This window comes from Homo sapiens, chromosome 17, assembly GCF_000001405.40.
Source record: "Homo sapiens chromosome 17, GRCh38.p14 Primary Assembly".
Classification (NCBI taxonomy): Eukaryota; Metazoa; Chordata; class Mammalia; order Primates; family Hominidae; genus Homo; species Homo sapiens.
In genome coordinates this window covers 68,022,042-68,047,421 of record NC_000017.11, presented here as the reverse complement: position 1 = coordinate 68,047,421, position 25,380 = coordinate 68,022,042, and the positions used below count along the sequence as shown (strand labels likewise).

The following is a 25,380-nucleotide window of genomic DNA, read 5'->3' as shown; positions in this document are numbered from 1 at the left end:
CCTCCGGAGTTCAAGCGATTCTCCTGCCTCAGCCTCCTGAGTAGCTGGGATTACAGGCTCCCACCACCATGCCTGTAATCCCAGCTAATTTTTTGTATTTTTACTAGAGACAGGGTTTCGCCTGGGTGACAGAGCGAGACACCATCTCAAAGAGTAGTGGCTATCAACCTACACTGTACAGGAGCCCTTGGGAATTACATTTTTAAAAAAGACACATGGTGGACCCTCATGCCCCTCATCAACGAAACAGAACTGGGTACTTTCCCAGATGAGGCCCATGTGCAGCCGTGATTTACCTTGGAACCCCATTCGGCCTTGAAGTTTGGGAGGAAAGAATTCCATTTGTAGCTCCAGCAGAGATTTATGATTAAATTTACGGTGTTTAGCCCATCTCCCTGGCCAAGGAGACTTAAGGAGACACTGGCTGAGGGTTTCCAGAAAATGTTATTCATTCTTCTGCAAAAACTGCAGCCAGGACTACCTCTGGTTAATCCCATCAGTTTGGACAGGTTACCTTTCACTAGCAACATTAAAGGCCCCAAATTAGAAAGCAACACATAGGCATGGTGAAGTCAAGAAAAGGGTGGACTTGAATGTTTATTTACAGGATGCTGCAAGATAGGAAATTCCACATAGAAATTAGAAACCTAGTCAGAGGACAAGCTTCATACAGTATGTATGTACAGTTGGAACTGTTCAAGTATAGTTTCAGTGTAAAAAGTGCTACAGTAACAAACCACATTTAAGAAAGAGTTCTTAGTAGAGAAACAATAAGACAAAATACCAAACGTAGTACACAACAAATTTATGTCTCAGCTACATGATCTAAAAGTTAAAGGTCCCAGGAGCCCCATCCTGAACTTGGAAAGTGTAGCCTTCAGAGGTAGTTTCTGGTACAACGTTTTGATCTTCCTCTTCCTGGAAATATATTAAAAAATAAGTATAAAAATGATATAAGTATTCCAAGCAGCAGCCTACCTGAAGTCTGTATTTAATCTCTAGGTCTTGATCTGCATATTACACCTTTAATCCTGTATGATATTATAGTATTTGACATAGAGGAGGGAGGGTCTCTGAAACTTTGCCAATTCATAAATGCTAGCTACTACAGTAACACAAACAGGCCGAGATTTTTTTCTTCCCCAACCGTCACTTTTCAATAGGAAAAGACTGTATTAGGCCCAGAGCATGGTGATGAGTTTGGCCTACTTCTCTATCACCTCCTACAATGACACCCGTTAACTTACCCTCAAGATATTCTAAGATTCTCAAGGTTGTTCATTTGAAACTAATCTGGTGGCTTTTAAAATCTCAGTTTAAAAAGATTTTATTACCATCAAGCCAAACTAGAGGGGCAAATAAGTACATTATGTCCCATGCACACTGATATTTTACTATATTTAACAAAGATATGACACTTATTTTTAAAAGGGAAAAAAAGGCTTATGGCCTTGACTTTATGTTTCCAAGTTGTTATTAATATTACCATCCATTACTCACCTCTACAGAGAAATACTTCTCAATTAAGCTTAACGAAGCCTTATACACAGACTCATTTTCATGGTTTTGTAGAGCTTCAATTTTGTCTAAGCCTCCACATTCTTCAATCATTATACTAAGTTTCTCAGTTTCACCTAGTTTCTCAGCAGCCTAAAAAAAAAAAAAATCCAAGTTTACTGGCATATACTCTGGTTTTATTTTAATGAAGAAAACATCAATAATTTGAATATTGATACGTCAGGCAGAAATAAGCACCTAACAATTCCTTCATCAAGCCTATCATAGTTTTATGTCCATTTTATATTTTGTTGACACTCAATGTGATTGGATCTGTACCTGCTTTTAGCACTACTTCAACTGGAGCCAAAGATCTTACAATCAGTAGTAGCTCCCAACCTTTTCTATGTATCAAAATCATGCGGGCAACTTTTAAAACAACACTACATTCCAGTTCAACTGGTCTGCTATGGGAACAGGGGTGTATTGTTTCATAAAGCATCCTATGTCATCACAAGGTGTAGTCAAGGTGTCTAAGGGCAAAGATGGCCTATGGAGTGCTAAACTAAACGTCCCCAAACAGAATGTGTGTTGGTATTAAGGATTTACTGGACATATGGAATGGTATGTAGGTTAGTTTTCCTTTAAATTTTCAACCTTAAAGAGATACATAAATATCTATAGATGAAAAAAACAGATTTGCTTCAAAATAACTTAGGGGATTAGATGAGGGGAAGAAGAAATACTGGCCACATACTGACAAATTATTTATACACAGTAACAGATACGCTAGCATCCATTATTGAAGGCTCAACTTTTTTTTTTTTTTTTTTTAAGACAGTTTCACTCTTGCCCAAGCTGGAGTGCAATAACACAAACTTGGCTCACTGCAACTTCCGCTTCCCGGGTTCAAGCGATTCTCCTGCCTCAGCCTTCTGAGTAGCTGGGATTATAGGCGCCCACCACCACACATGGCTAATTCTTGCATTTTTAGCAGAGACAGGGTTTCGCCATGTTGGCCAGGCTGGTCTCGAACTCTTGACCTCAGGTGATCCACCCACCTCGGACTTCCAAAGTGCTGTGATTACAGGCATGAGCCACCGTGCCTGGCCAAGTCATTCAAATTTAATGTCACCAAAAATCGGTATGAAATTGGGAAATTAAATCAACCAAGTAAACAGGTGTGATGAGTCCACATAAGCGCCTGACTCCGATTCAGGTCACACCATCCACTTGTCGTCTCTTTTGTATCTTTTATAATGCCTGCCTCATTTTTAATCAAAGGGGTGGCCACATAAACAGGCTTTCTGATTCTGTGGCTTACTAGTGAGTAAACTTACAGCTGCCCTCCCCCAAGTCTAAATAGTAAACTGATTATTATCAAGTCCAAATTCAAACAAAGCCACCTTGATAGGACTTACCTGAAAGATATTTGAAATGGCATCCAGGATAACCAGAATAATCTTGGTATCTTTTGCAGTTAAGAGGTTCATCAACGGTTCTATTATGCCACAGTGAACAAGGTACACAATCTGTTCAACTGTTCCACCACTGGTATAGTTGGTCACGGCCCACACAGCTTCCTTTTGTGTCTTAAAATCTGCCTATTAAACATAAGGAAATGGTTTTATTTCAGAACAGTTGCACAAATAAGATTCCAAGAGTACTTTTTCACAAAAACAATGACTGAAAGTACCAAGGTTCTATCCAACCTTAAGTAAAAGGGGTTACTGGGTATTGTTCAGCAAAGGACTCCTAGTAGAACCCAAGATTCTTGCACGTGAAGAAGCTTATCAAGCACAGCTTTCTATAAATACTAAAAATGACTTGATTAAATCCTAAGACTTCGTTACCTTAGAGAGAACACTGACAAGGAATGGGACTAATCCATGATTCACAACTTGCTGTATCTGGTCCTGGCGGCCGGCTGTGATGTTTGACATTGTCCACGTAGCTTCCTTCTGAATGTTAGTTTTGGGGTTGGTGAGCAGGCTGGGAAAGACGGCGAGTGCTCCTGCATCAATCACAACCTGAGTCTGTTCATCTGTACCAGTGACAATATTCCCTATGGCTCTTAGGGCAGGAGTCTGAAAAAAAAAAAATATGTTGATGCTGGTTATTTTTTCCCCAGCACTTTAGAAATTCTATACCCTAAAAGTTTTAACAAGAGGCCCATCATGGCCTGAAATAGGCAATATTTCAATATTACTATCAACTGATTATGCTTTTTTTTTTTTTTTTGAGAGACTGGAGTATAATGGCACGATTTCGGGTCACTGCAGCCTCTGCCTCCCAGATTCAAGCAATTCTCCTGCCTTAGCCTCCCGAGTAGTTGAGATTACAGACACGTGCCACCATGTCCAGATAATTTCTTTGTATTTTTAGTAGAGATGGGCTTTCACAATGTTGGCCAGGCTGGTCTCGAACTCCTGACCTCAGGTGATCCACCTGCCTTGGTCTCCCAAAGTGCTGGGATTACACAGGTGTGAGCCACCACTACCACGCCCAGCCCTGATCATGCTTCTTATACTTATGTCCTAATCTACAAGTAAATAACTTACCACAATTGGCAATTCAGAAGCTCCTAGAAGCTTCACAAGTTGGGGCACAACTCCTGTTTTCACCACCATGCCAATTCGTTCATTTGGACCATCAGTAAGGTAGGAAATAGCCCAGCAGGTATCTGCTAATACTTCTGGATCATCATGATGCAGGAGCCGAACTAAGGTAGGAAGAATCTGCTCAACAGCATCTATCGGGGGTGCAGGATTCTTGTTGCGGCAAAGATTAGAAAGTGTCCAGGTAAGATTACGTAAGTAGCCACACTGGGGGAAAAAAAATAGGCAATGAGAGGTTCTGTCTTTTGAGAAGATGGGGGAAATTAGAATGAAGAAGTGAGTAACTTTACTCATGTTAGTAACTTACTGCTAAAGATGACATATCAGGAACTGCAAGGAGAGCCAACAGTGGGTCAACTGCACCGTACTTAATAACCAAGTCTCGGAACACTGAGCCATCACCTGAAAAAAAAGGCAAGATTAATTTTTTTTTTTTTTTTTTTGAGACGGAGTTTCTCTCTGTCGCCCAGGCTGGAGTGCAGTGGCGCGATCTCGGCTCACTGCAAGCTCCGCCTCCTGGGTTCAAGCCATTCTCCTGCCTCAGCCTCAGGCGCCCGCCGCCACGCCCGGCTAATTTTTTGTATTTTTAGTAGAGGTGGGGTTTCACTGTGTTAGCCAGGATGGTCTCAATCTCCTGACCTCATGATCCACCCGCCTCTGCCTCCCAAAGTGCTGGGATTACAGGCGTGAGCCACCATGCCCGGCCGAGGCAAGATTAATTTTATTACCTTGTCCAACACCATCAATTTTCAGTGACTGAATGCACCAGCAAAAACTCCCAAACTTACTTAGATGGCCCTCTGCTGCCTTTGTAAAGACGACACTTTCATTCCTAATAAGGGCTTGAAAGCAAGCTCAAAACTTGACAAAGTCACTATTACTTATAACAAGGCCTTTCTTCCAACTAATTACGATTAGATACATTCAGTCAAAAGAACTTCAAGTCCAAGTACCTGCAATGTTTCCTAGAGCCCAGACAGCTTGTTCACTGATGTGAGCATGGGGAGATGCCAACAGAGAAATGAATGCTGGGATGGCACCTCCATCTACCACAGCCTTGGTTTGTTCTGATGTCCCAGAAGCAATGTTAGTGAGTGCCCAAGCAGATTCAAACTGAATGGGACTACAATCAGTTCTGCCCAAGAAGGACACAAATTTCGGAATCAAACCAGCCCGGATTATGTTGTCTATGGGGGGCTGTTTTTCTCTGGAAAGTAGTTTCCTAAAGGGGAACAAAAAGAGAAATAAAAGTTGACAGTGATTAACAAAAGGAGTTTGTGTAAAAACCAATATAAAATGCAATTCAAGAGTTTAGAACTTCAGACAACCTTTTAAGTAAATCACTAAATGCTGAGACATTCTGGAACCTAAGAGAAGCTGAACAGATTACTTGTATGGTGCTATGTATGCGGTATAATTAACTACCATTTTTCCAGAAATTAATGTAGATTACCCTCCTTTCCATCCCTGCAGAAATCTACTCCAGATCTTGTCACTTTTTAAAAAAACTTTTCACATTCTGACAGGGTTATACTCTCACTGAATTTGTTCTGATAGTTGTGGTTAAGCACATTTTGTTTTTTTGAAATAGGATCTCACTCCACTCAGGCTAGAGTGCAGTGCCACGATCACAGCTCACTGCAGCCTCGACCTCCTGGGCTCAAGTGATCCTCCCACCTCAGCCTCCTTAGTAGCTGGGACGACAAGTGTGCACCGCCACACCCAAGTTATTTTATTTATTTATTTTTTGAGACAGAGTCTTGCTCTGTCGCCATGCTGGAATGCAGTGGCAAGATCTCAGCTCACTGCAACCTCCGCCTGCTGGGTTCAAGTGATTATTGTGCCTGAGCCTCCCAAACACGTGAGATTACAGGCATGTGCCACCACACCCAGCTAATAATTTCTTTTGTAGAAACTGGCTCTCACCATGTTGCCCAGGCTGGTCTCAAACTCCTGGGCTCAAGTAACCGACCCCTTGGCCTCCCAAAGTGCTGGGATTACAGGAATGAGCCACAGCACCCAGCCTAGAACTTTTTAATGATAATTTACCATTGAAATTTTTCTTCTGCACACTGTCAAGCTATAGAACTTATTAATCCTTTCTATTATATCATAAATATCCACGTATAGTGGGAGGTAAAGGTCAAATTATACTTATCTCCTAAATGGATCTATCATTCTAAATGCATGTCTCAATCCCACTTACTATTTATTTCTTCCTTCCCCTGCCAGTGACTTGAAACATTACTTTGGTAAAAACTTTATGGGCAGGTGCAATGGCACACACCTGTGATCCCAGCACTTCAGGAGGCTGAGGTCAGAGGACTGCTTGAACCCAGGCATTCCAGGCCAGCCTGGGCAAAATAGCAAGGCCTCCCCTCTCAAAAAAATTAATAAATAAAAAATACTATTTGGCTTATGGCTGGCTGGCCTAATCTTTCCTTGTACTATCTGTCTGTCCCTTCCTGCCCCACCCCCCAAAAAAAAATCTAAAAACACAAATTTCTTAGGCTACCCATGCTATCGCAGACAAGACTTACCTGGCAGCTTGAGTAGCTTGGAGCTGATTTTCCACATTGCTGCTATTTATGCCTTTGACAATGTCATCAACAGACCAATTTACAGTGCCCTAGAAGAAAAGTGAAAGTTTGCACATTATCATTAAGATTAAATACAAACAATAAAATCCACACTTACTTGTGAAGGCAAGTGTAAACATCGTTAGGCTTATAGCCAGCTACTAAATATTTAGCCCTACATTTAATTTTGCCTGTTAAATATTCATTATTTTATATGTAGAACAGTTTCCAAACTTGTTGTCATGGACTCACTGGAGTCTCAAGTTATGGAGTATCCAAGTGTTTTGTCGCTAAAAAAGGCAGCTTTGAACAATTTTAAAAAATGAACGAGAAGGACAGGCATGGTGGCTCACACCTGTAAGCCTAGCACTTTGGGAGGCTCAGGAGGGAGGATGGCTTGAGCTCAGGTGAGACCAGCCTGAGCAACACAGTGAGACCTCCCAACAAAAAAAAAAAAAAAAAAAAAATATCCAGGCATGGTGGTGTTTGCCTGTCGCCATACAAGACCTTGTCTCAAAAATCAAGAATCAGAGCAGACTGAAGATTATTTCTACGTTAGTCTCAATCACTTGCATTCAGATATACTTTGAGGGAGAAAGACATGAAGTCATAGGCAACGTTCTGAGGATTTTCTTTTCTTTTTTTTTTTGAGACGGAGTTTCACTCAATCCCCAGGCTGGAGTGCAGTGGCATGATCTTGGCTCACCACCACCTCCGCCTCCTGGGTTCAAGCGATTCTCCTGCCTCAGCCTCCCAAGTACCTGAGATTATAGGCATGCGCCACCATGCCTGGCTAATTTTTTTTTTTTGTATTTTTAGTAGAGACGGGGTTTCTCCATGTTGGTCAGGCTGGTCTCGAACTGCCAACCTCAGGTGATCCACCTGCCTCAGCCTCCCAAAGTGCTGGAATTACAGGCATGAGCTACCATGCCCGACTTTTTTTTTTGGAGACAGAGTTTTGCTCTTCTTGCCCAGGCTGGAGTGCAATGGCGTGATCTCGGCTCACCACCGCCTCCACCTCCCGGGTTCAAGCGATTCTCCTGCCACAGCCTCCTGAGTAGCTGGGATTACAGGCATGCGCCACGATGCCCAGCTAATTTTGTATTTTTAGTAGAGATGGAGTTTCTCCATGTTGGTCAGGCTGGTCTCAAACTCCCGACCTCAGGTGATCCACCTGCCTCGGCCTCCCAAAGTAATGGGATTACAGGTGTGAGCCACCACACCCGGCCGAGGATTTTCATATCTAATTTTATAATCTACATATTTCCACGGTTAAGTGTTGCTGCAAATATAAATGGTTTATGTTTGGCTGGGCGAAGTGGCTCGCGCCTGTAATCCCAGCACTTTGGGAGGCCGAGGCGGGTGGATCACCTGAGGTCAGGAGTTCGAGACCAGACTGGGAAACACGGTGAATCCCCGTGTCTACTAAAAATGCAAAAATTAGCTAGACATCGTGGTGATCCCCTGTGATCCCAGCTACTTGGGAGGCTGAGGCAGGAGAGTCACTTGAACCCAGGAGACGGAGGCTGCAGTCAGCCAAGATCGTACCACTGCACTCCAGCCTGGGCAACAAACCAAGGTTTTGTCTCAAAACAAAAAAAAAAGGAAGCATATTGTGAGAAAAACATGTAGGAAAGGGCCCAGATGAAAGATAAATTTGAAAATCTAAGTTAAGTCTACTTTATGGAAGGCCTTCATAGAGTAGGGATTTCTTAGAGACAGGGTCTCACTGTCACCCAGCATGGGGTGCAGTGGTGCAATCACAGCTCACTGCAGCCTCAAAATCCCGGGCTCAAGTGATTCTTCTGTCTCAGCCCCCTGAATACCTAGGACTAAAGGCCGGCGCCACCACACCCAGCTAACTTTACTTTTTATAGAGACGAGGTCTTCCTATGTTGCCTAGGCTGGGCTCAAACTCCTGGCCTCCAGTGATCCTCCCATTTCAGCTTCCCAAAGTGTTGGAATTACAGGCATGAACCACCATGCCCAGCTGGAGTATGGATTTATTTTATTTTTATTTTTTTCCTTGAGACGGAGTTTCACTCTTGTTGCACAGGCTGGAGTGCAATGGCATGATCTTGGCTCACTGCAACCTCCACCTCCCAGGTTCAAGCAATTTGGAGTATGGATTTTAAGGAGCGAAAACACAGGTCTAAAGCAGTACTTCAGGAAAAATTTCAGGAAAATAGTATATGGCATAAAGAAGGATATGATAAATTAGGAGGCTACTGTAAATATTTCAGAAGGAAAGTCCTGAACAAAGCTGGTGACAAATACAAAAACATAGAGAATACCAAAAAAGGCAGAAATAAACCAAAAACGGGAAGGGCCTGGTGGCTCACGCTTGTAATCCCAGCACTTCTGGAGACCAAGGCAGGCATATCACGAGGTCATGAGTTCAAGACTAGCCTGGCCAACATGGTGAAACCCCGCCTCTACTAAAAATACAAAAACAGGCCGGGCAGTGGCTCACGCCTGTAATCCCAGCACTTTGGGAGGCTGAGGCGGGTGGATCACGAGGTCAGGAGATCGAGACCATCCTGGCTAACATGTTGAAACACCGTCTCTACTAAAAATACAAAAAATTAGCCAGACAGGGTGCGGGCGCCTGTAGTCCCAGCTACTTAGGAGGCTGAGGCAGGAGAATGGCGTGAACCCGGGAGATGGAGCTTGCAGTGAGCGGAGATCGCACCACTGCACGCTAGCCTGGGCGACAGAGCAAAACTCTGTCTCAAAGAAACAAAAACAAAAAAATACAAAAACTAGCCAAGCGTGGTGATGCGCACCCATAATCCCAGCTACTCAGGAGGCTGTGGCAGGAGAATTGCTTGAACCCATGAGGCAGAGGTTGCAGTGAGCCGATTGTGCTGCTGCACTCCAGCCTGAGCAACAGAGCAAGACTCCATCTCGGGGGAAAAAAAAAAAAAAGAAGAAATAAACCAGAAACTGGCTGGCTCTGGACACACTGGTCAGGCCAAGGTACCCAGCTAGTAGCTAGAAATGCAGGGAAGTCTGAAGGAAGGTCAGAGCTAAAGGAAGATCCTAAATCAGCTTCAGTGGATTACAGAAGGCAGGAAAGAAGACAATTACTAATTGCAAACAGAGAAAAAGATGTTCACAGATAGTTAAAACCGTTAAGACTAGAAATGTTAAGTTTACTTGAATTTCTAAGAAAAGTCCCTACTGATTTTCTGGATTTCACGTAACTCATAAACTAAAATACATTTTTTACCTGGTTGTTGCGGTTTTCCTGCAGCGGAGAAGTAGCATCATCAGGAAATGAGCTTACATTTCTCCTCTTCAGCATCTGGTCATCCTTCTTAGCTTTCCTCAGCTCCACATTGACCTCTATTCTGCGACGCCTCATTTCCTTGAGAAAAGATAACATGCCGTTTCACCTATCACACCAGTTTTTGTTGCTAAGTGAGGGCATTTTTTTTTTAAATACCTCAGTTTTCACCCCTTTCCAAATGTCTTCCCATTTAAATACCACCACAGGAAAGCAACAGAAGGTACTCACTGTACTGTCTTTTCCCTTGTTCTTGAATCTGTGAAGACGGGCAGCTGGTGTATTAGCATTCTCGTTGGTGGACATGGTTATGAGACAAAGGGAGAAAGCTAAAAGATGGGGGAAGAGAAAAATATTTCCTTTATCATTTTCCTTTGTCAATAATAGTACCAAATAAGAACTGAATTATCAAGCATCTACTGAATCCACACCTGTATACTAGAGGGGGGATCATCATGTTTTCGGCACTATGAAATAGCTTTACCCAAAGGGGAAGTGTCCCCCTTCCCTCTAAAGGGCTGAGACTTCCTGGAGAGGGCTCTCCATCAGAAATAGAATGCAAGCTATATAAATTGAAACTTCCTAGTAGCCATATTTTTAAAAAGGAGAAAAGAAACAAGTGAAACTAATTTTAATAATGTATTTTACTTAACCCAACATATCCAAATAGTATTTCAACGTGTTATCAATATATAAAATAACTGACATCTTCTACATTCTTTTTCCATACTCCATCTTTGAAATCTTTTGTGTACTTTAAGCTTACAGCGTATTTCAATTTGGACTAGCCACATGTATCCACCGTTTCTGACAGCCTAGTTCGATACTCCAGAGTCCCTAATAGTTAATTCAAGACAAAGTAGGGGAACCAAGTCAACTTACAGCTAAAAATTATGTGCCAGGGCAATAAATTCAGATCCTCAGGAGGCTCTCCCTATTTTACTGTCTTTACTTGGCCAAAATAGGTGCAGACTCGAAAATTAAATAAAAATTTGCTTCATCATTACATTATGGTCAACATTAAAAATGCAGTGCCGCATCTCGCATATTTGATTTGCATTTCCAGAGACTAGGAGTGAATGCGCTTAATTAGGATGACATCAGCTGTGCGTCATTCAGAAGATGACAAAAGTCAAAGCCCTCCTTACAATTTGCTATCTTTGCTTTCATTACGCTCGCCTACGACTTGGTGGCAGAGCCACCCCCGGGGCCTAGGTGTCAGAGACGGTGCTCCCAACTGCCACCCCCAGCCCCTGCCCCCACGCCGGGGAAGATGCAACGAGAAAGGAGGAGGCGAAACCAGGGCCGCCACAAGTCCTCCCGGGACATTCGCCCTCAAGCCTGGCTCGCTCCGATTCTCCCGGCCGCGACGCGTTAAGGCCTCCGCTGCCGTTTGCAGAGCGTCGGCGCCCTAAACCCGCAGACCCCGCGAAACTCAGCCGCCTGGTCAATGAACGTCGCCCCCGAGGCCTAGTCAACGCGGGAGGCAGAGCCAGGCTCGGCGTGGACCCGGGGCCTCCCTCCCCCAACCCAAAAGGCGAACGCCGCCCACGGGCAAGCCGTTAGCGCTCGGGCCGGGCCGCCGCCTGAGTCTGTACCTGCGAAGCGGGCCTGGGCTTCCACGGGAGGCGATGCGGGGGGAATCAGCGGCTGTAGGGCGACTGCGTTCAAAGGGTCCACCTCGACTCAGCTCAAAGACCGTGTGGCTCGTGCAGCCGGCCGGCGCGATTTAAATTTCCCGGTGACTCCGCATTCCGATTGGCTGGTTCGAGCCTAAGCTGTGTGCCCATTGGTGGATTTGAAAAACACGTTGGGAGGGGAGGGAGTCATAGGGCTTGGGGGCGAGTGGGAGGGGGGAAAGAAAAAAAAAAAAAGAGGATGGCATCGCGAGATGAGGGAGCGGCCGGGCGGTGAGGGAGCGGCCGGGCGGTGAGGGAGCGGCCGGGCGGTGAGGGAGCGGCCGGGCGGTGAGGGAGCGGCCGGGCGGTCCCTGAGCGCCTGGCGGGGCGGAGCGGGAGGACTCCAGATCCCGTCAAGCAGCGCGAAGGGGCGGTTCCCTGGGCCGTTCGTGTTTCCATAGGGTTGAAGCGTGCATGGTCCTTGGGCGTTTTCCTGGGCGACAGCCTTAAACAAATACCACAAAATGATTCTCTAAGTCATTATTTTAAAAACTTTGTTGTTGATCTTCATGAAAATAAAAAAATTCTAATTAGTAAATAAGTAATCTTTATAGAAAAACATATTGCTTTGCATTTTTTTCCTATTATGACACCCAAAGTACTCGGCGGGGGTTTCTGGCTACTATGGGAGGGAAGATTTGTGTTATATTTTTTAGTTTAGTTTTTTTTTAATTGCATCATAAAAGACTGTATAGAAGCCGCAAATATGGAAACAAAAGGTTTCTTATGCCTGTTTCTCCAAAAACTCAAGTTTTTTATTTTTAAATAATTTCAAATGCAGCAGAATTGCAAATCTTTATCCAGATTTGCCAAATCTTAACATTTTGCCACATTTGCTATTGCTTTCTCTATACATATATATGTATACATATGCACGCGTGTACATATGTGTGATTTTAATATGTTACTTTAAGAGAAAGTTTCAGAATCATGTCCTTTTTCCTCTGTTTCACGGTGTCTCTCCTAAGAAAAGACATTCTCTTATATAACCACACTGCAGTCATCAAATTCAGAAAAACTGAAATTTCATGCTGTTGTTTAGTATGTAGTGTGTGTTCAAGTTTTTTCAATTGTTATAGTAACATTCTATGCTCATTACACATTTCTGAATTTTGCATTTTTTGCCATATGCTCAAACGAACAAACAAAACAAAGATGGTCAACAGAGCATCAGGATTCTGGGCCATTTTTGTTTCTGCAATTTTTTTGTGTTCTAAAAGATTACATTTTAGAAAAGTTTTCATGGTTTATTTCTTACTATAAATAAATTCAAACAGCAAGTTTGTCCATTTTTGCAGGCATTAATGCCAGCCTCATTCATCGTAAAGCCAGAGTTCATAAAGGGTTGGACCTACTCTTAATCAGCATAATCCCATCCCCCTAAATGCAAGAATGTGGAAGGAATTCACCCCTAAACCAATCACTGTGTGGCATTCTCTCAGCTACTGAGAATGGTTCAGGGGCAGGCACATGACCTAAATTCATCCAGTTGGACAGCCTCTGCCTTTTGTTTACTGGTTGGAGGTAGGAAAGCAGCCTCTGTTCTTCTGAACTAAGGGATGTGAGTCCTAGAAATCTGAATAAGAAAACTGTAGGGAAACCTTGAGAGGTCTGACCTGCTCTATCTCTGAAGGTTTGCAGGTAGGAGATCCGATACACATTTCTTTTGTATTGTCAAGTTGAGTTTCTTCTCTTTTTTTTTTTCTTTTTTTTCTTTTCTTTGAGACAGGGTCTAGCTCTGTCGCCCAGGCTGGAGTGGAGTGGCACGATCTCAGCTCACTGCGACCTCTGCCTCCTGGGCTGAAGCCATCCTCCCACCTCAGCCTCCCAAATAGCTGGGACTATAGGTACACACCACCACGTCCAGCTAATTTTTGCATTTTTTGTAAAGACAGGGTTTCACTATTTTGCCCAAGCTGGTCTCGAAGTCCTGAGCTCAAGCAATCCACCCACCTCAGCCTCCCAAAGTGCTGGAATTATAGGCCTGACCACCATACCAAGCCAAGTTGAGTTTCTTTTGCTTGAAAATACTGACTACTATGTGCCCAGAAGTGTTCTGAGTGTTTACCATATATTAATACACTTGATCTTCACAACTGTGAGGTAGTACTGTTATTTGCTCTATTTCACAAAAGAGAGCACTGAATCACAAGTGTTTATGTAACTTGTTCCAGGGTCACACAGCCAGTAAATGGCAAAGACAGGATTCAGCCATAAGCAGTCTGGTTCCAGGATCTGTGTTCTGAACCACTATTCTGTACTTGCACCTAAAAACAACCTGAAACAGAAGTATAATGCCCAAAATTGCCTTTGAAAGATACGATATCGTCGGGCACAGTGGCTCACACCTGTAATCCTAGCACTTTGGGAGGCTGAGGTGGGCAGACCACCTGAGGTCAGGAGTTCAAGACCAGCCTGGCCAACAAAGGGAAACCCTGTCTCTACTAAAACATACAAAAAATTAGCTGGGCGTGGTGGCAAGCACCTGTAACCCCAGCTACTTGGGAGGCTGAGGCAGGAGAATTGCTTGAATCTGGGAGGCAGAGGTTGCAGTGAGCCGAGATCACACCATTGCACTCCAGCCTGGACAACAAGAGCGAAACTCCATTTCAAAAAAAAAGACTAGCCTGTCCAACATGGCAAAACCCTGTCTCTACTAAAAAATATAAAAAATTAGGCAGGTGTGGTAACACACACCTGTGGTCCCAGCTACTCAGGAGGCTAAGATACAAGCATCACTTACACCTGGGAGGTAGAGGTTGCAGTAAGCTGAGATGGTGCCACTGCACTACAGCCCAGGCGACAATGCAAGACGCCGTCTCAAAAAAAAAAAAAAAAGTCCTATCATTTATGACCAAGTTTTAGCTGATGTGTTAGTCCACTAGCATAGTCCGCTTAGGTTACCATAACAAAGTACTACAGGCTGGGAGGCTTAGATAACAAACATTTATTTTTCTCACATTTCTGGATCACGAAATCTGAAATAAGGGTGCCAGAGTGGTCAGTTTCCAGGAAGGGCCCCCCTCTTTGGCGTCCAGATGACCATCGCCTAATTGTGTGCTAGCATGATCTCTTCATTTTAGCACAGAGAAGGGAGAGTGAAAGCTCTCTGGTGTCTCTTCTTTTTTTTTTTTTTTTAGATGGAGTCTCGCCCTGTCACCCAGGCTGGAGTGCAATGGCGCGATCTCAGCTCACTGCAACCTCTGCTTCCTGGTTTCAAGTGATTTTCCTGCCTCAGCCTCCCAAGTAACTGGGATTACAAGTGCATGCCACCACACCTGGCTCATTTTTGTATTTTTAGTAGAGATGGGGTTTCACCATGTTGGCCAGGCTGGTCTTGAACTCCTGACCTCATGATCCACCCACCTCAGCCTCCCAAAGTGCTTGGATTACAGGCATGAGCCACTGCGCCCGGCCTGATGGCTCTTTTTATAAGGACACTAATCTCATCATGAGGGCCCCACCCTCATGAATTCATCTCAACCTCCCAGAGGCCCCATTTCCAAATACTATCATACTGGGAGTTAGGTTTTCAACATATGAATTTTTGAGGGGGATGCAAACATTCAGTTCTTAATATCCATTCACCAGCCTGGGCAACATAGCGAGATGCCCTCCTCCAAACCACCATCTCTACAAAAATTAAAAAAAAAAAAAAAATTAGCAGAGGCTGGGAGCAGTGGCTAACGCCTGTAATCCCAACACTTTGGGAGGCCGAGGCAGGTGGGTCACTTGAGGTCAGGAGTTCAAGACCAGCCCAGCCAACATGGTAAAACCCTGTCTCTACTGAAAATACAAAAATTAGCCAAGCGCGGTGGCTCGTGCCTGTAGTCCCAGCTACTCGGGAGGCTGAGGCACAAGAATCGCTCGAACGCAGGGGCAGAGGTTGCAGTGAGCTGAGATTGTGCCACTGCACTCCAGCTTGAGCAACAGAGTGACACTCTGTCTAAAAAAATAAATAAATAAAAATAAAAAATTAGCCAAGCATGTTGGTATATGCCTGTAGTCCCCGCTACTTGGGAGGCTGAGGTGGGAGGATGGCTTGAGCCTGGGAGGTGGAGGCTGCATTGAGCCGAGATTGTACCACTGCATTCCAGCCTAGGTGGCAGAGTGAGATGCTGTCTCAAAAAAAAAAAAAAAAAAAAATCCATTCAGATTATCTTCCTTCAAAATATGAATGTTGAGTTAAAACATGCAAAGAAAGAAAGAAAGGGGCCTGGAGCTGAGCTGGCTGAAAGACATAGGACCACCAGCTACTGAGGCTGAGGCCCTTTAGTTACTGTCTTTCTAGGCCGTCTTGTAAACTCATGTTTCAGTTCTGTGAACTATACAACATCCCTCAAACACACCACTTTCTCAATTTTTTCTTCTTTTTGAGACAGGGTCTTGCTCTGTCATCCAGGCTGGAGTGCAGTGGCACGATCAGAGCTCCCTGCAGCCTCAACCTCCTGGGCTGAAGTGATTCTCGTACATCGGCCTCCCAAGTAGCTGAGACTACAAGCATATGCTACCACGCCCAGCTAATTTTTGTTTTTTTTTGTAGAGATGGGATTTTGCCATGTTGCCCAAGCTGGTCTAGAACTCCTGGGCTCAAGAGATCTGCCCACCCCAGCCTCCCAAAGTGCTGAGATTACAGGTGTGAGCCACCGTGCTCAGCCAAATACAGCCCTTTCTGATTTGAGTGTGGCAGCAATCCCTAATTCTCCACCAAAACTCATGTTTCACCTTCCATTTGGTCTACTTGTTGCTGGTAGATGGGTGGATGGGTGCCTAGCCAGTGACTCTACTTTTCAGTTTCCTTGGATCCAGGTGAGGCCATAAGTCTAGTTCAAGTGAAAGTAATGTATTTGTCTAATGGGTTAGCGCTTACAAAATGGTGTCTCTCTCTCTCTCTCCTTTCCCTGGCTTGAAGCAGACAAGCCTGGCCACACTGGGAGCCCTATGAGGAAGGTGGTAGAGCTGCAACATGGAAGGAACCTGGGTCCCTGTGTCAGCCAAAGAGTCTCCAAACCCATCCTAGGTTTACTTGCCTGTTCCTGAGTCTGCGGGTGGGATGGATGTTCCCAGCTGCTGGCAGAACCCCCACGCTGGCTTTCTTACCCTCTGCGTCAGGGCTACTGTGGCAGGCTTGGCTAAATGAAAGCCATTGGTGCTCCCTTCCCCACAAAAACAGTAACTCAGAAGCAAAACTGCATCCTTGGGGAAACTGCAGAGATTAGTGCCACATATGGAGGCTCTTCAGTAAGGAACTATCCTCGTTTTGAGAAAGAGCTCTTGATCACCTACTGAACTCCAAATAAAAATGTAACCTGCCAGGTGGGGTGGCTCATGCCTGTAATCCCAGTACTTTGGGAGGCCGAGATGGGTGGATTGCTTGAGCCCAAGAGTTCAAGACCAGCCTGGGGAACATGGCAAAACCCCATCTCTACAAAACATAGCTGGGCGTGGTGGCATGCACCTGTAGTCCCAGCTACTCAAGAGGCTGGGACGGGACGATCGCTTGAACCCAGGAGGTGGAGGTTGCAGTGAGCAGAGATCATACCACCACACTCCAGCCTAAGTGACAGAACAAGACCCTGTCTCAAAAAAAAAAAAAAAAAAATTAACCAGGCTTGGTGTGTAGCCAGCCCTGGTGGCACGTGTCTGTAGTCCCAGACACTCAGGAGGCTAAAGTGGGAGAATCACCTGAGCCCAGGAGGTCGAGGCTGCAGTGAACCATGTGATCATGCCACTGCGCCATAGCCTGGGTAACAGATCAAGACCCTGTCTCAAAAACAAATAAAATAAAACCAATGTAATGTGAGCTACTCATGACGAATTGGGGGTTATCTGATCCCATGAAGTTGGGTGGGCACAGCAGCACTCCATAACGAAGTAGAAGTGGGATGGGAGGGACCTGGACCAAAAGGACCCAGAAGGTAGAAGAAAACTGCATGAACAAGTGACTTATGTTCCCAGCTGCTGACTCCTGCCAGCAGATTACACCTGTGGCCTCATGGGACAATCAATGACCAGCAAGATGAAGGTCAAGCTAGGTGCTCTGCATACTATGTTGACATTAGCTGAAGTGGATTGCTCCTGACCGATGGCCTCACATGTAGGCAACCTAATATAGTTCGGCTATTTGTTTCCTCCAAATCTCATGTTGAAATTTGACTCCCAGTATTGGAGGTGGGGCCTAGTGGGAGGCGTTTGGGTCATGAGAACAGATCTCTTAGTAATGGCTGGTGCCCTCCCCATGGTAACAAGGGAGTTCTGACTGTCAGTTACTGTGAGATCTGACTCTTTTTCTTTCTTTTTCTTTTTCTTTCTTTTTTTTTTTTTTTTTTTTGAGATGGAGTCTCGCTCTGTCGCCCAGGCTGGAGTGCAGTGGCGCCATCTCCGCTCAATGCAAGCTCTGCCTCCTGAGTTTACGCCATTCTCCTGCCTCAGCCTCCCGAGCAGCTGGGACTACAGGCGCCCACCACCACGCCCAGCTAATTTTTTTTTGTATTTTTAGTAGAGACGGGATTTCACCGTGTTAGCCAGGATGGTCTCGATCTCCTGACCTCGTGATCCACCCGCCTCCGCCTCCCAAAGTGCTGGGATTACAGGCGTGAGCCACCGCGCCCGGCCCTTTCTTTTTCTTTTTAAAATGGAGACGGGGTCTCACTATGTTGCCCAGGCTAGTCTCATACTCTTGGGCTCAAGCAATCTCCCCACCTCGGCCTCCCAGAGTGCTCACAGGTGTGAGCCACTGTGCCTGGCTGAAGTCTGATTGTTAAAAAGAGCCTGGGCCAGGAATAGTGACTCATGCCTGTAATCCCAACACTTTGGGAGGCCAAGGTGGGTGGATCACTTGAGGTCAGGAGTTAAGAGACCAGCCTGGCCAACGCGGTGAAACCCCGCCTCTACTAAAAACACAAAAATTAGCTGGGAATGGTGGCGTATGATTGTAATCCCAGCTATTCAGGAGGCTGAGGCAGAAGAATCACTTGAACCTGGGAGGAAGAGGTTGCAGTGAGCCAAGATCGTGCCACTGCACTCTAGCCTGGGTGACAGAGTGAGACTCCATCTCGAAGCTTCCTGAAGCCCTCACCAGAAACAGATACTGGCACCATACTTCTTGTACAGCCTGCAGAACCATGAGCCACTAAACCTCCCCTTTTTAAAAAAATATAAATTACCTAGCCTCAGGTCTTCCTTTATAACAATACAAAATGGACTAACACACAGCTCTGAAGGAAAGTAAGCAGTCAAACTCCCTAGTGGGTAGAACCTTGAAGCATGCAGCTGGTACACATTTTTCTGAAAGAGCAGATATCCCGAGGTGAGATCCACACTGATTCCCAAACAGTGAAAACCAGCTTAGCTGGCTGGTTGGTATAAGGGTCATTAATTTTATTTATGTTGCCCAGCAGATATGCACACCTCTATTAAAAGAGTAATTCCTAACTTTCCTGCAGGAACCAGCGCTCACCCACACCAGTCCATGTGGTTGGATGAGGTTGACTCCCTACCCTGGGTGGACTCTAACTGGCATAAGCCAAGGAGGAAACCCTTCCCGTAGGTCACAGGTATGGTTTCATGGAGAGCATATAACTCAATAGGGACTGGTAAGAATCAGGCCTGGGACTTTGACTAATAGGGGTGAGATGTACTTCCTCTACACTTGGAATTATGATAATGGATGTAAAGTCTGGAGCTGTTGTAAATATTTTACCACTGTAAGGAAAGAGCCTGGAGCCTGTCTGAAAATAGAGTGACAATAGAACAAAGTAGAACAGGTTCAAGAGAGACACCAGATTCTGATTTCTTTTATTGTATTTATTTATTTATTTATTTATTTATTTATTTATTTATTTATTTATTTTTGAGACAGAGTCTCACTCTGTTGCTCAGGCTGGAGTGCAGTGGTGCGATCTCGGCTCACTACAAGATCTGCCTCCCGGGTTCACGCCATTCTCCTGCCTCAGCCTCCCGAGTAGCTGGGATTACAGGCACCCGCCACCACGCCCGGCTAATTTTTTTTTTTTTTTTTGTATTTTTAGTAGAGATGGGGTTTCACTATGTTAGCCAGGATGGTCTTGATCTCCTGACCTCGTGATCCGCCCGCCTCGGCCTCCCTGATTTCTTTTAAACCCCTAATCAAGACACATCTGAAAGGCAGACCTATCTCTGGACTTTTTTTTTTTTTTTTTTTTTTGAGACAGAGTTTTACTCCGTCTCCCCAGGCTGGAGTGCAGTGGCGTGATCTTGACTCATTGCAACCGCCACTTCCTGGGTTCAAGCGATTTTCCTGCCTCAGCCTCCCTAGTAGCTGGGATTACAGGTGCATGCCACCCCGTCTGGCTAATTTTTGTATTTTTTTGTAGAGACAGGGTTTCACTAGGCTGGTCCTAAACTCCTGACCTCAGGTGATCCGCCCGCCTCGGGCTCCCAAAGTGCTGGTATTACAGGCGTGAGCCACCGTGCCTGGCCCAGCCTTCTTTTTTATCATTGAATAATGTTCCATTGTATGTTTGTATACCAAGGTAGGAGGATCGCTTGAGCCCAGGAGTTTCGAGACTAGCCTGGGCAAAATGACAAGACGCCATCTCTACAAAAAATAAAAAATATATTAGCTGGGCATGATGGTGCATTCCTGTACACAGCTACCTGGGAGATTGAGGCAGAGGATCACTGGAGCCCAGGAGTTTGAGGTTAGCAGTGATCACGCCACTGCACTCCAGTCTGGGCAACAAAGCAAGACCCTGTCTCAAAAAAAAAAAGGAAAGAAAAGAAAAAAAATCTGAAAAAGAAATTCCATTATATGGATGTACCACAGTTTGTTTATCCATTCACCTATGGAAGCACATCTTGGTTGGTTCAAATTCTGGCAATTACGAATAAAGCTGCTATAAACAGTTGTGTGCAGGTGGAGATTTTTGTGTAGACATACGTTTTCAACTCACTTGGATAAATACCATGGATTGCGATTGCTGGATGGTATGGTAAGACTATGTTTACCTTTGTAAGAAACTGCCAAACTATCTTTTGAAGTTGCTGTACCATTCTGCATTCCCACTAGCAATGAATGAGAGTTCCTCTTGTTCCATATCCTCACCAGAATTTGGTGTTGTCAGTGTTTTGCATTTTAGCCATTACAATAGATGTGTAGCGGTATCTCATTATTTTGATTTGCAATTCCATAATTTCACTGTGAGGTGAGTTTCTTGGTTGGAGCAGTGTTGTCTCTTTGGGAATCCATGACAGCATAAAAGACTTGCAAAGTGAAAGGAGGGGCCGGGCGCGGTGGCTCATGTCTGTAATCCCAGCACTTTGGGAGGCCGAGGTGGGCGGATCATGAGATCAGGAGTTTGAGACCAGGCTGGTCAACATGGTGGCCCCATTTCTACTAAAGATACAAAAATTTAGCTGGGCGTAGTGGCACGCGACTGTAATCCCAGCTACTCGGGAGGCTGGGGGAGGAGAATCGCTTGAACCTGGAAGGCGCAGGTTGCACTGAGCCGAGATCATGCCACTGTACGCCAGCCTGGGCGACAGGGCAAGACTCCGTCTCAAAAAAAAAAGAAAGTGAATGGATGGTGGTGCTGGCAGCAGAGTGACACATTGGAAAGTAAATATGGCCCAATCCAGATAAAATGTCTCTTCCTCCTGATCTATTATGGAAAGGGTCCAATGTTATTGTCATGATCACCAGGTAATTGAATGGTCCCTTCAGGGTGTGAAGCCAACATCAGGGCTGGTTGGGCCCCCGGCAGAAATAGTAGCCAGACCAGACTCAGTAGTAGGAAGTGAATGATACTGAGCGTATGCATAGCCTCTGTCTCTGCTGCCTTGGCCATGTGGTTCATGATCCCATTAAGCAAGCACTAGCCTGGCAGGGGAAGGAGGATGATGGACATCTACAGAGCAGGCCATCATGGCCACCTGAATATTAATAGCCTATTCCACAGTGGAGGCCTTTGGGTGAACATCCATATAACTCAAATCCACACCTTCTAAGTTCATTCCAAAAGATCCATACATCTACCCCTTCTCCAAACCACCTTTGTTGTCAATCCTATCTTCCTCTCACAAATTCCTGAGTGTATTGTTTATGACTCTTTTGGTTGCAAGAGGCAGAAGACCCAATCCTAAGTTGGCTTATGAGTAAAGGAATTTGCCACCTCAAATAAGAAGGCTGGGTGCCGTGGCTCATGCATGTAATCCCTGCACTTTGGTAGGTTGAGGTAGGAGGATCACTTGAAGCCAGGGGTTTGTGTAACCAACAGAGGGAGACCCCCTTTTTCTACAAAAAAAAAAAAAAATTATCCAGGTGTGGTGGTGTGCACCTGTAGTATCAGGTACTTGGGATGCTGTGGCAGGACAATTGCTTGAACCCAGGAGTTTGGGGCTGCAGTGAGCTATGATTGAGCCACTGCACTCCAGCCTGGGTGACTGAGCAAGACCCTGTCTCTAAAAAAAATAATAATAATAACAAAAGTCCAGACCGGGCGTGGGGGTCGTGCCTGTCATCCCAGCGCTTTGGGAGGCCAAAGCCGGTGGATCACCTGAGGTCAGGAGTTCGAGACCAGCCTGGCCAACTCCAGTAGAGATGGCAAAACTCTGTCTCTACTAAAAATACAAAAATTAGCTAGCCATGATGTGATTCAGGAGAATCACTTGAACTTGGGAAGCAGAAGTTGCAGTGAGCTGAGATTGAGCCACTGCACTCCTGCCTGGGTAATAGAGCAAGACTGTCTCAAAAAAAAAAAAAAGAAAGAAAGAAAAGAAAAGAAGGCTGGGCATGGTGGCTCATGCCTAGAATCCCAGCAGTCTGGGAGGCTGAGGTGGGCAGATTGCTTGAGTCCAGGAGTTTGAGACCAGCCTGGGCAACATGGTGAAACCTGGTCTCTACAAAAAATATAAAAATTAGCCAGGCATGGTGGTGCACGCCTGTCATCCCAGCTACTTGGGAGGCTGAGGCGGAAGGATCATTTGAGCCTGGGAGTTGGAAGCTGCAGTAAGACGTGATTGCATCACTGCACTCCAGCCTGGGCAACAGAGTGAGAACCAGTCTCAAAAAAACAAGCAGATCGGGCATGGTGGCTCACACCTGTAATCCCAGCACTTTGGGAGGCCGAGGCAGATAGATCACTTGAGGTCAGGAGTTTGAGTTTGAGACCAGCCTGGCCAAAACAGTGAAACCCCGTCTCTACTGAAAATACAAAATATAGGCCGGGTGCGGTGGCTCACACCTGTAATCCCAGCACTTTGGGAGGCCGAGGTGGGTGGATCACCTGAGGTCAGGAGTTTGAGACCAGCCTGGCCAACGTGGAGAAACCCCATCTCTACTAAAAATACAAAAATTAGCCAGGTGTGGTGGCATGTGCCTGTAATCCCAGCTACTCCAGAGGTTGAGGCAGGAGAATTGCTTGAACCCAGGAGTGGAGGTTGCAGTGAGCCGAGCTCATAGCCACTGCACTCCAGCTTGGGTGACAGAGTGAGACTCCATCTCAAAAAAAAAAAAAAAAAAATTCAGCCAGGCATGGTGGCACACACCTATAGTCCCTGCTACTTGGGAGTCTGAGGCAGGAGACAGAATTGCTTGAACCCAGAAGGTGGAGGTTGCAGTGAGCTGAGATCGTGCCACTTAACTCCAGTCTGGACAACACAGCAAGACTCCATCTCAAAAACAAACTTACAAAGAAACAAACAAGCAAGCAAAAATTGAGCTATCAATCCATGAGAAAAACATGCAGAAACCTTAAATGCATATTGCCAAATGAAGGAAGCCAGTCTGAAAAGGCTACACATTGTATGATTCCAACTACAGTAAATGACATTCTAGAAAAGATAAAACTATGGAGACAAAAAAGATTAGTGGTTGGGGCCACGTGCAGTGGCTCACACCTGTAATACTAGTGCTTTGGGAGACTGAGGCGGGCGGATCACGAGGTCAGGAGTTCGAGACCAGCCTGGCCAATATGGTAAAACCCCGTCTCTACTAAAAAATACAAAAATTAGCCGGCCATGGTGGCTTGTGCCTGTAGTCCCAGCTACTTGGGAGGCTGAGGCAGGAGAATCGCTTGAACCCGGAAGGCGGAGGTTGCAGTGAGCCGAGATTGTGCCACTGCACTCTAGCAAGGGTGACAGAGCGAGACTCCATTTCAAAAAAAAAGATTAGTGGTTGGAAAGGGTTTCAGGGGAGGAAGGGGAGAATGAATAGGTGGAATAAGGCATTTTAAAGGCAGTGAAACTATTCTGTGTGATACTGTAATTGTGGATATATGACATTATACCTTTGTCAAAAACCATAGAATGCACAATACAAAGAGTGAACCCTGCAAGTATCAACTATGGACTTTACTAATAATGTATATTAAATATTATTATTAATATTAATTATTATATTGTTAATGAAGTTAATTATAATGTATCAGTATTAGTTTATCAATTGTAATGAATATACCATACTAATGCAAGCTGTTAATAACGGGAAATTGGTGAGGGAAAGTGAAGGAATATACAGGTACCCTCTGTACTTTCCACTCAATATTTCTGCAAACCTAAAACTGATAAAAAATAATAAAGTCAATTAATTAAGAAAATATGCTGCAATGTGAAAACTAGAGCATATCACCAAACTTTCTGCATTCTGTTACATTAAAATCCATTAGTCTGGCCGTGCGGTGGTGGCTCATTAGTCTGTACTCCACTTGGATGCATATTTTACCTTTACCCATGCAGGAATATCGAACATTATGCACTGGTCATTTGAAACACGTTACACTAAGAGGTATGCAGATCTTCCAAGTGTTGACACATTGAATTGTACAACATCAAAACATTGCACTCATTAAACAGAAATGTCTTTAAATATTTGAAAGCTATCAAGCTTACAGTGGTGGATACAAAGTTTCAAGCTTTTAAATGTTCCCTTGACGGTTTTTTTGTTTTTTTGTTTTTTGTTTTTTTGAGACGGAGTCTCGCTCTGTCGCCAGGCTGGAGTGCACTGGCGCCATCTAGGCTCATTACAACCCCCGCCTCCCAGGTTCAAGCGGTTCTCCTGCCTCAGCCTCCCGAATAGCTGAGACTACAGGCGCGTGCCACCACGCCCAGCTAATTTTCGTGTTTTTAGTAGAGATGGGGTTTCAACATGTTGGCCAGGATGGTCTTGATCTCTTGACTTCGTGATCTGCCCTCCTCGGCCTCCCAAAGTGCTGGGATTACAGGCCTGAGCCACCGCACCCGGCCTTCCCTTGAAAATGTAGGTTATTTCATTAGCCACAAACAGTGCATATTGTTTTCCTTGAAGCGACATGCTCACTTTGTTCATTTTCTAAAAAATATCTGCAAAATGCCCAACTCTGAATAATCTAGTTTGTCGGTCAGTTGTTCCTTCAATGAAAATTCGGTACGACTGAAAAGCAGCTAGTTCGGAGTGCAACTCCAACATCCCACAAGTGCTTTACTCAAGCAAAAACCATTGTATTTTGGTATGCGTAGAGGTGATTTATTCATACTTCCCATTGTCAAAGAAAATATTAAAAAGCTGTGCACTCAAGCGTTGAAACTTAATACACTTAATTATTCTTACAGCGTCACCAAGGATATGCTTCAGTAAACCTGGCTTTTTCCCTCTGCCAGTGCACGAAGGTAAAGAATATGACTCTTATTAGTTTAGTTCAAATGCCTTAAATTTGCTATTTCACCCGCTATTGCTTCTGCACCATCGGTGCAAATGTCAACGC

General features: G+C 44.9%; 1 protein-coding gene across 2 annotated transcripts, besides 4 other annotated features; it reads right to left on the bottom strand.

The window, feature by feature from the left end:
- Positions 1 to 567: 567 nt before the first annotated feature.
- On the bottom strand, positions 568 to 11,687 carry KPNA2 (karyopherin subunit alpha 2). 2 transcript variants are annotated; one of them, NM_001320611.3, is made up of 11 exons: positions 10,866 to 11,687; positions 10,215 to 10,312; positions 9,927 to 10,064; positions 6,656 to 6,744; positions 5,069 to 5,337; positions 4,423 to 4,517; positions 4,059 to 4,322; positions 3,351 to 3,584; positions 2,919 to 3,101; positions 1,501 to 1,650; positions 568 to 918 (listed from the first exon to the last, which is right to left on the bottom strand). In NM_001320611.3, the coding sequence occupies exons 2-11, from the start codon at positions 10,287 to 10,289 to the stop codon at positions 826 to 828; spliced, it is 1,590 nt and encodes a 529-aa protein (NP_001307540.1). In that variant the 5' UTR covers positions 10,290 to 10,312; positions 10,866 to 11,687; the 3' UTR covers positions 568 to 825. The 2 variants fall into 2 exon arrangements, with proteins under 2 accessions (NP_001307540.1, NP_002257.1); NM_002266.4 differs by having other exon boundaries at positions 11,582 to 11,687.
- Positions 11,155 to 11,374: an enhancer, noted in NCBI's record as "active region_12635". NCBI's record gives its function as "activates an Ori minimal core promoter by ATAC-STARR-seq in GM12878 lymphoblastoid cells {active_cell/tissue: GM12878}" and the evidence as "EXISTENCE:reporter gene assay evidence [ECO:0000049][PMID:35858748]".
- Positions 11,394 to 11,941: an enhancer, noted in NCBI's record as "NANOG-H3K27ac-H3K4me1 hESC enhancer chr17:66031597-66032144 (GRCh37/hg19 assembly coordinates)". NCBI's record gives its function as "activates a minimal SCP1, AML or CMV promoter by ChIP-STARR-seq in primed H9 embryonic stem cells {active_cell/tissue: H9 hESC(primed)}" and the evidence as "EXISTENCE:reporter gene assay evidence [ECO:0000049][PMID:30033119]".
- Positions 11,394 to 11,954: a biological region, named in NCBI's record as "NANOG-H3K27ac-H3K4me1 hESC enhancer GRCh37_chr17:66031597-66032144".
- Positions 11,905 to 11,954: a silencer, noted in NCBI's record as "silent region_8885". NCBI's record gives its function as "represses an Ori minimal core promoter by ATAC-STARR-seq in GM12878 lymphoblastoid cells {active_cell/tissue: GM12878}" and the evidence as "EXISTENCE:reporter gene assay evidence [ECO:0000049][PMID:35858748]".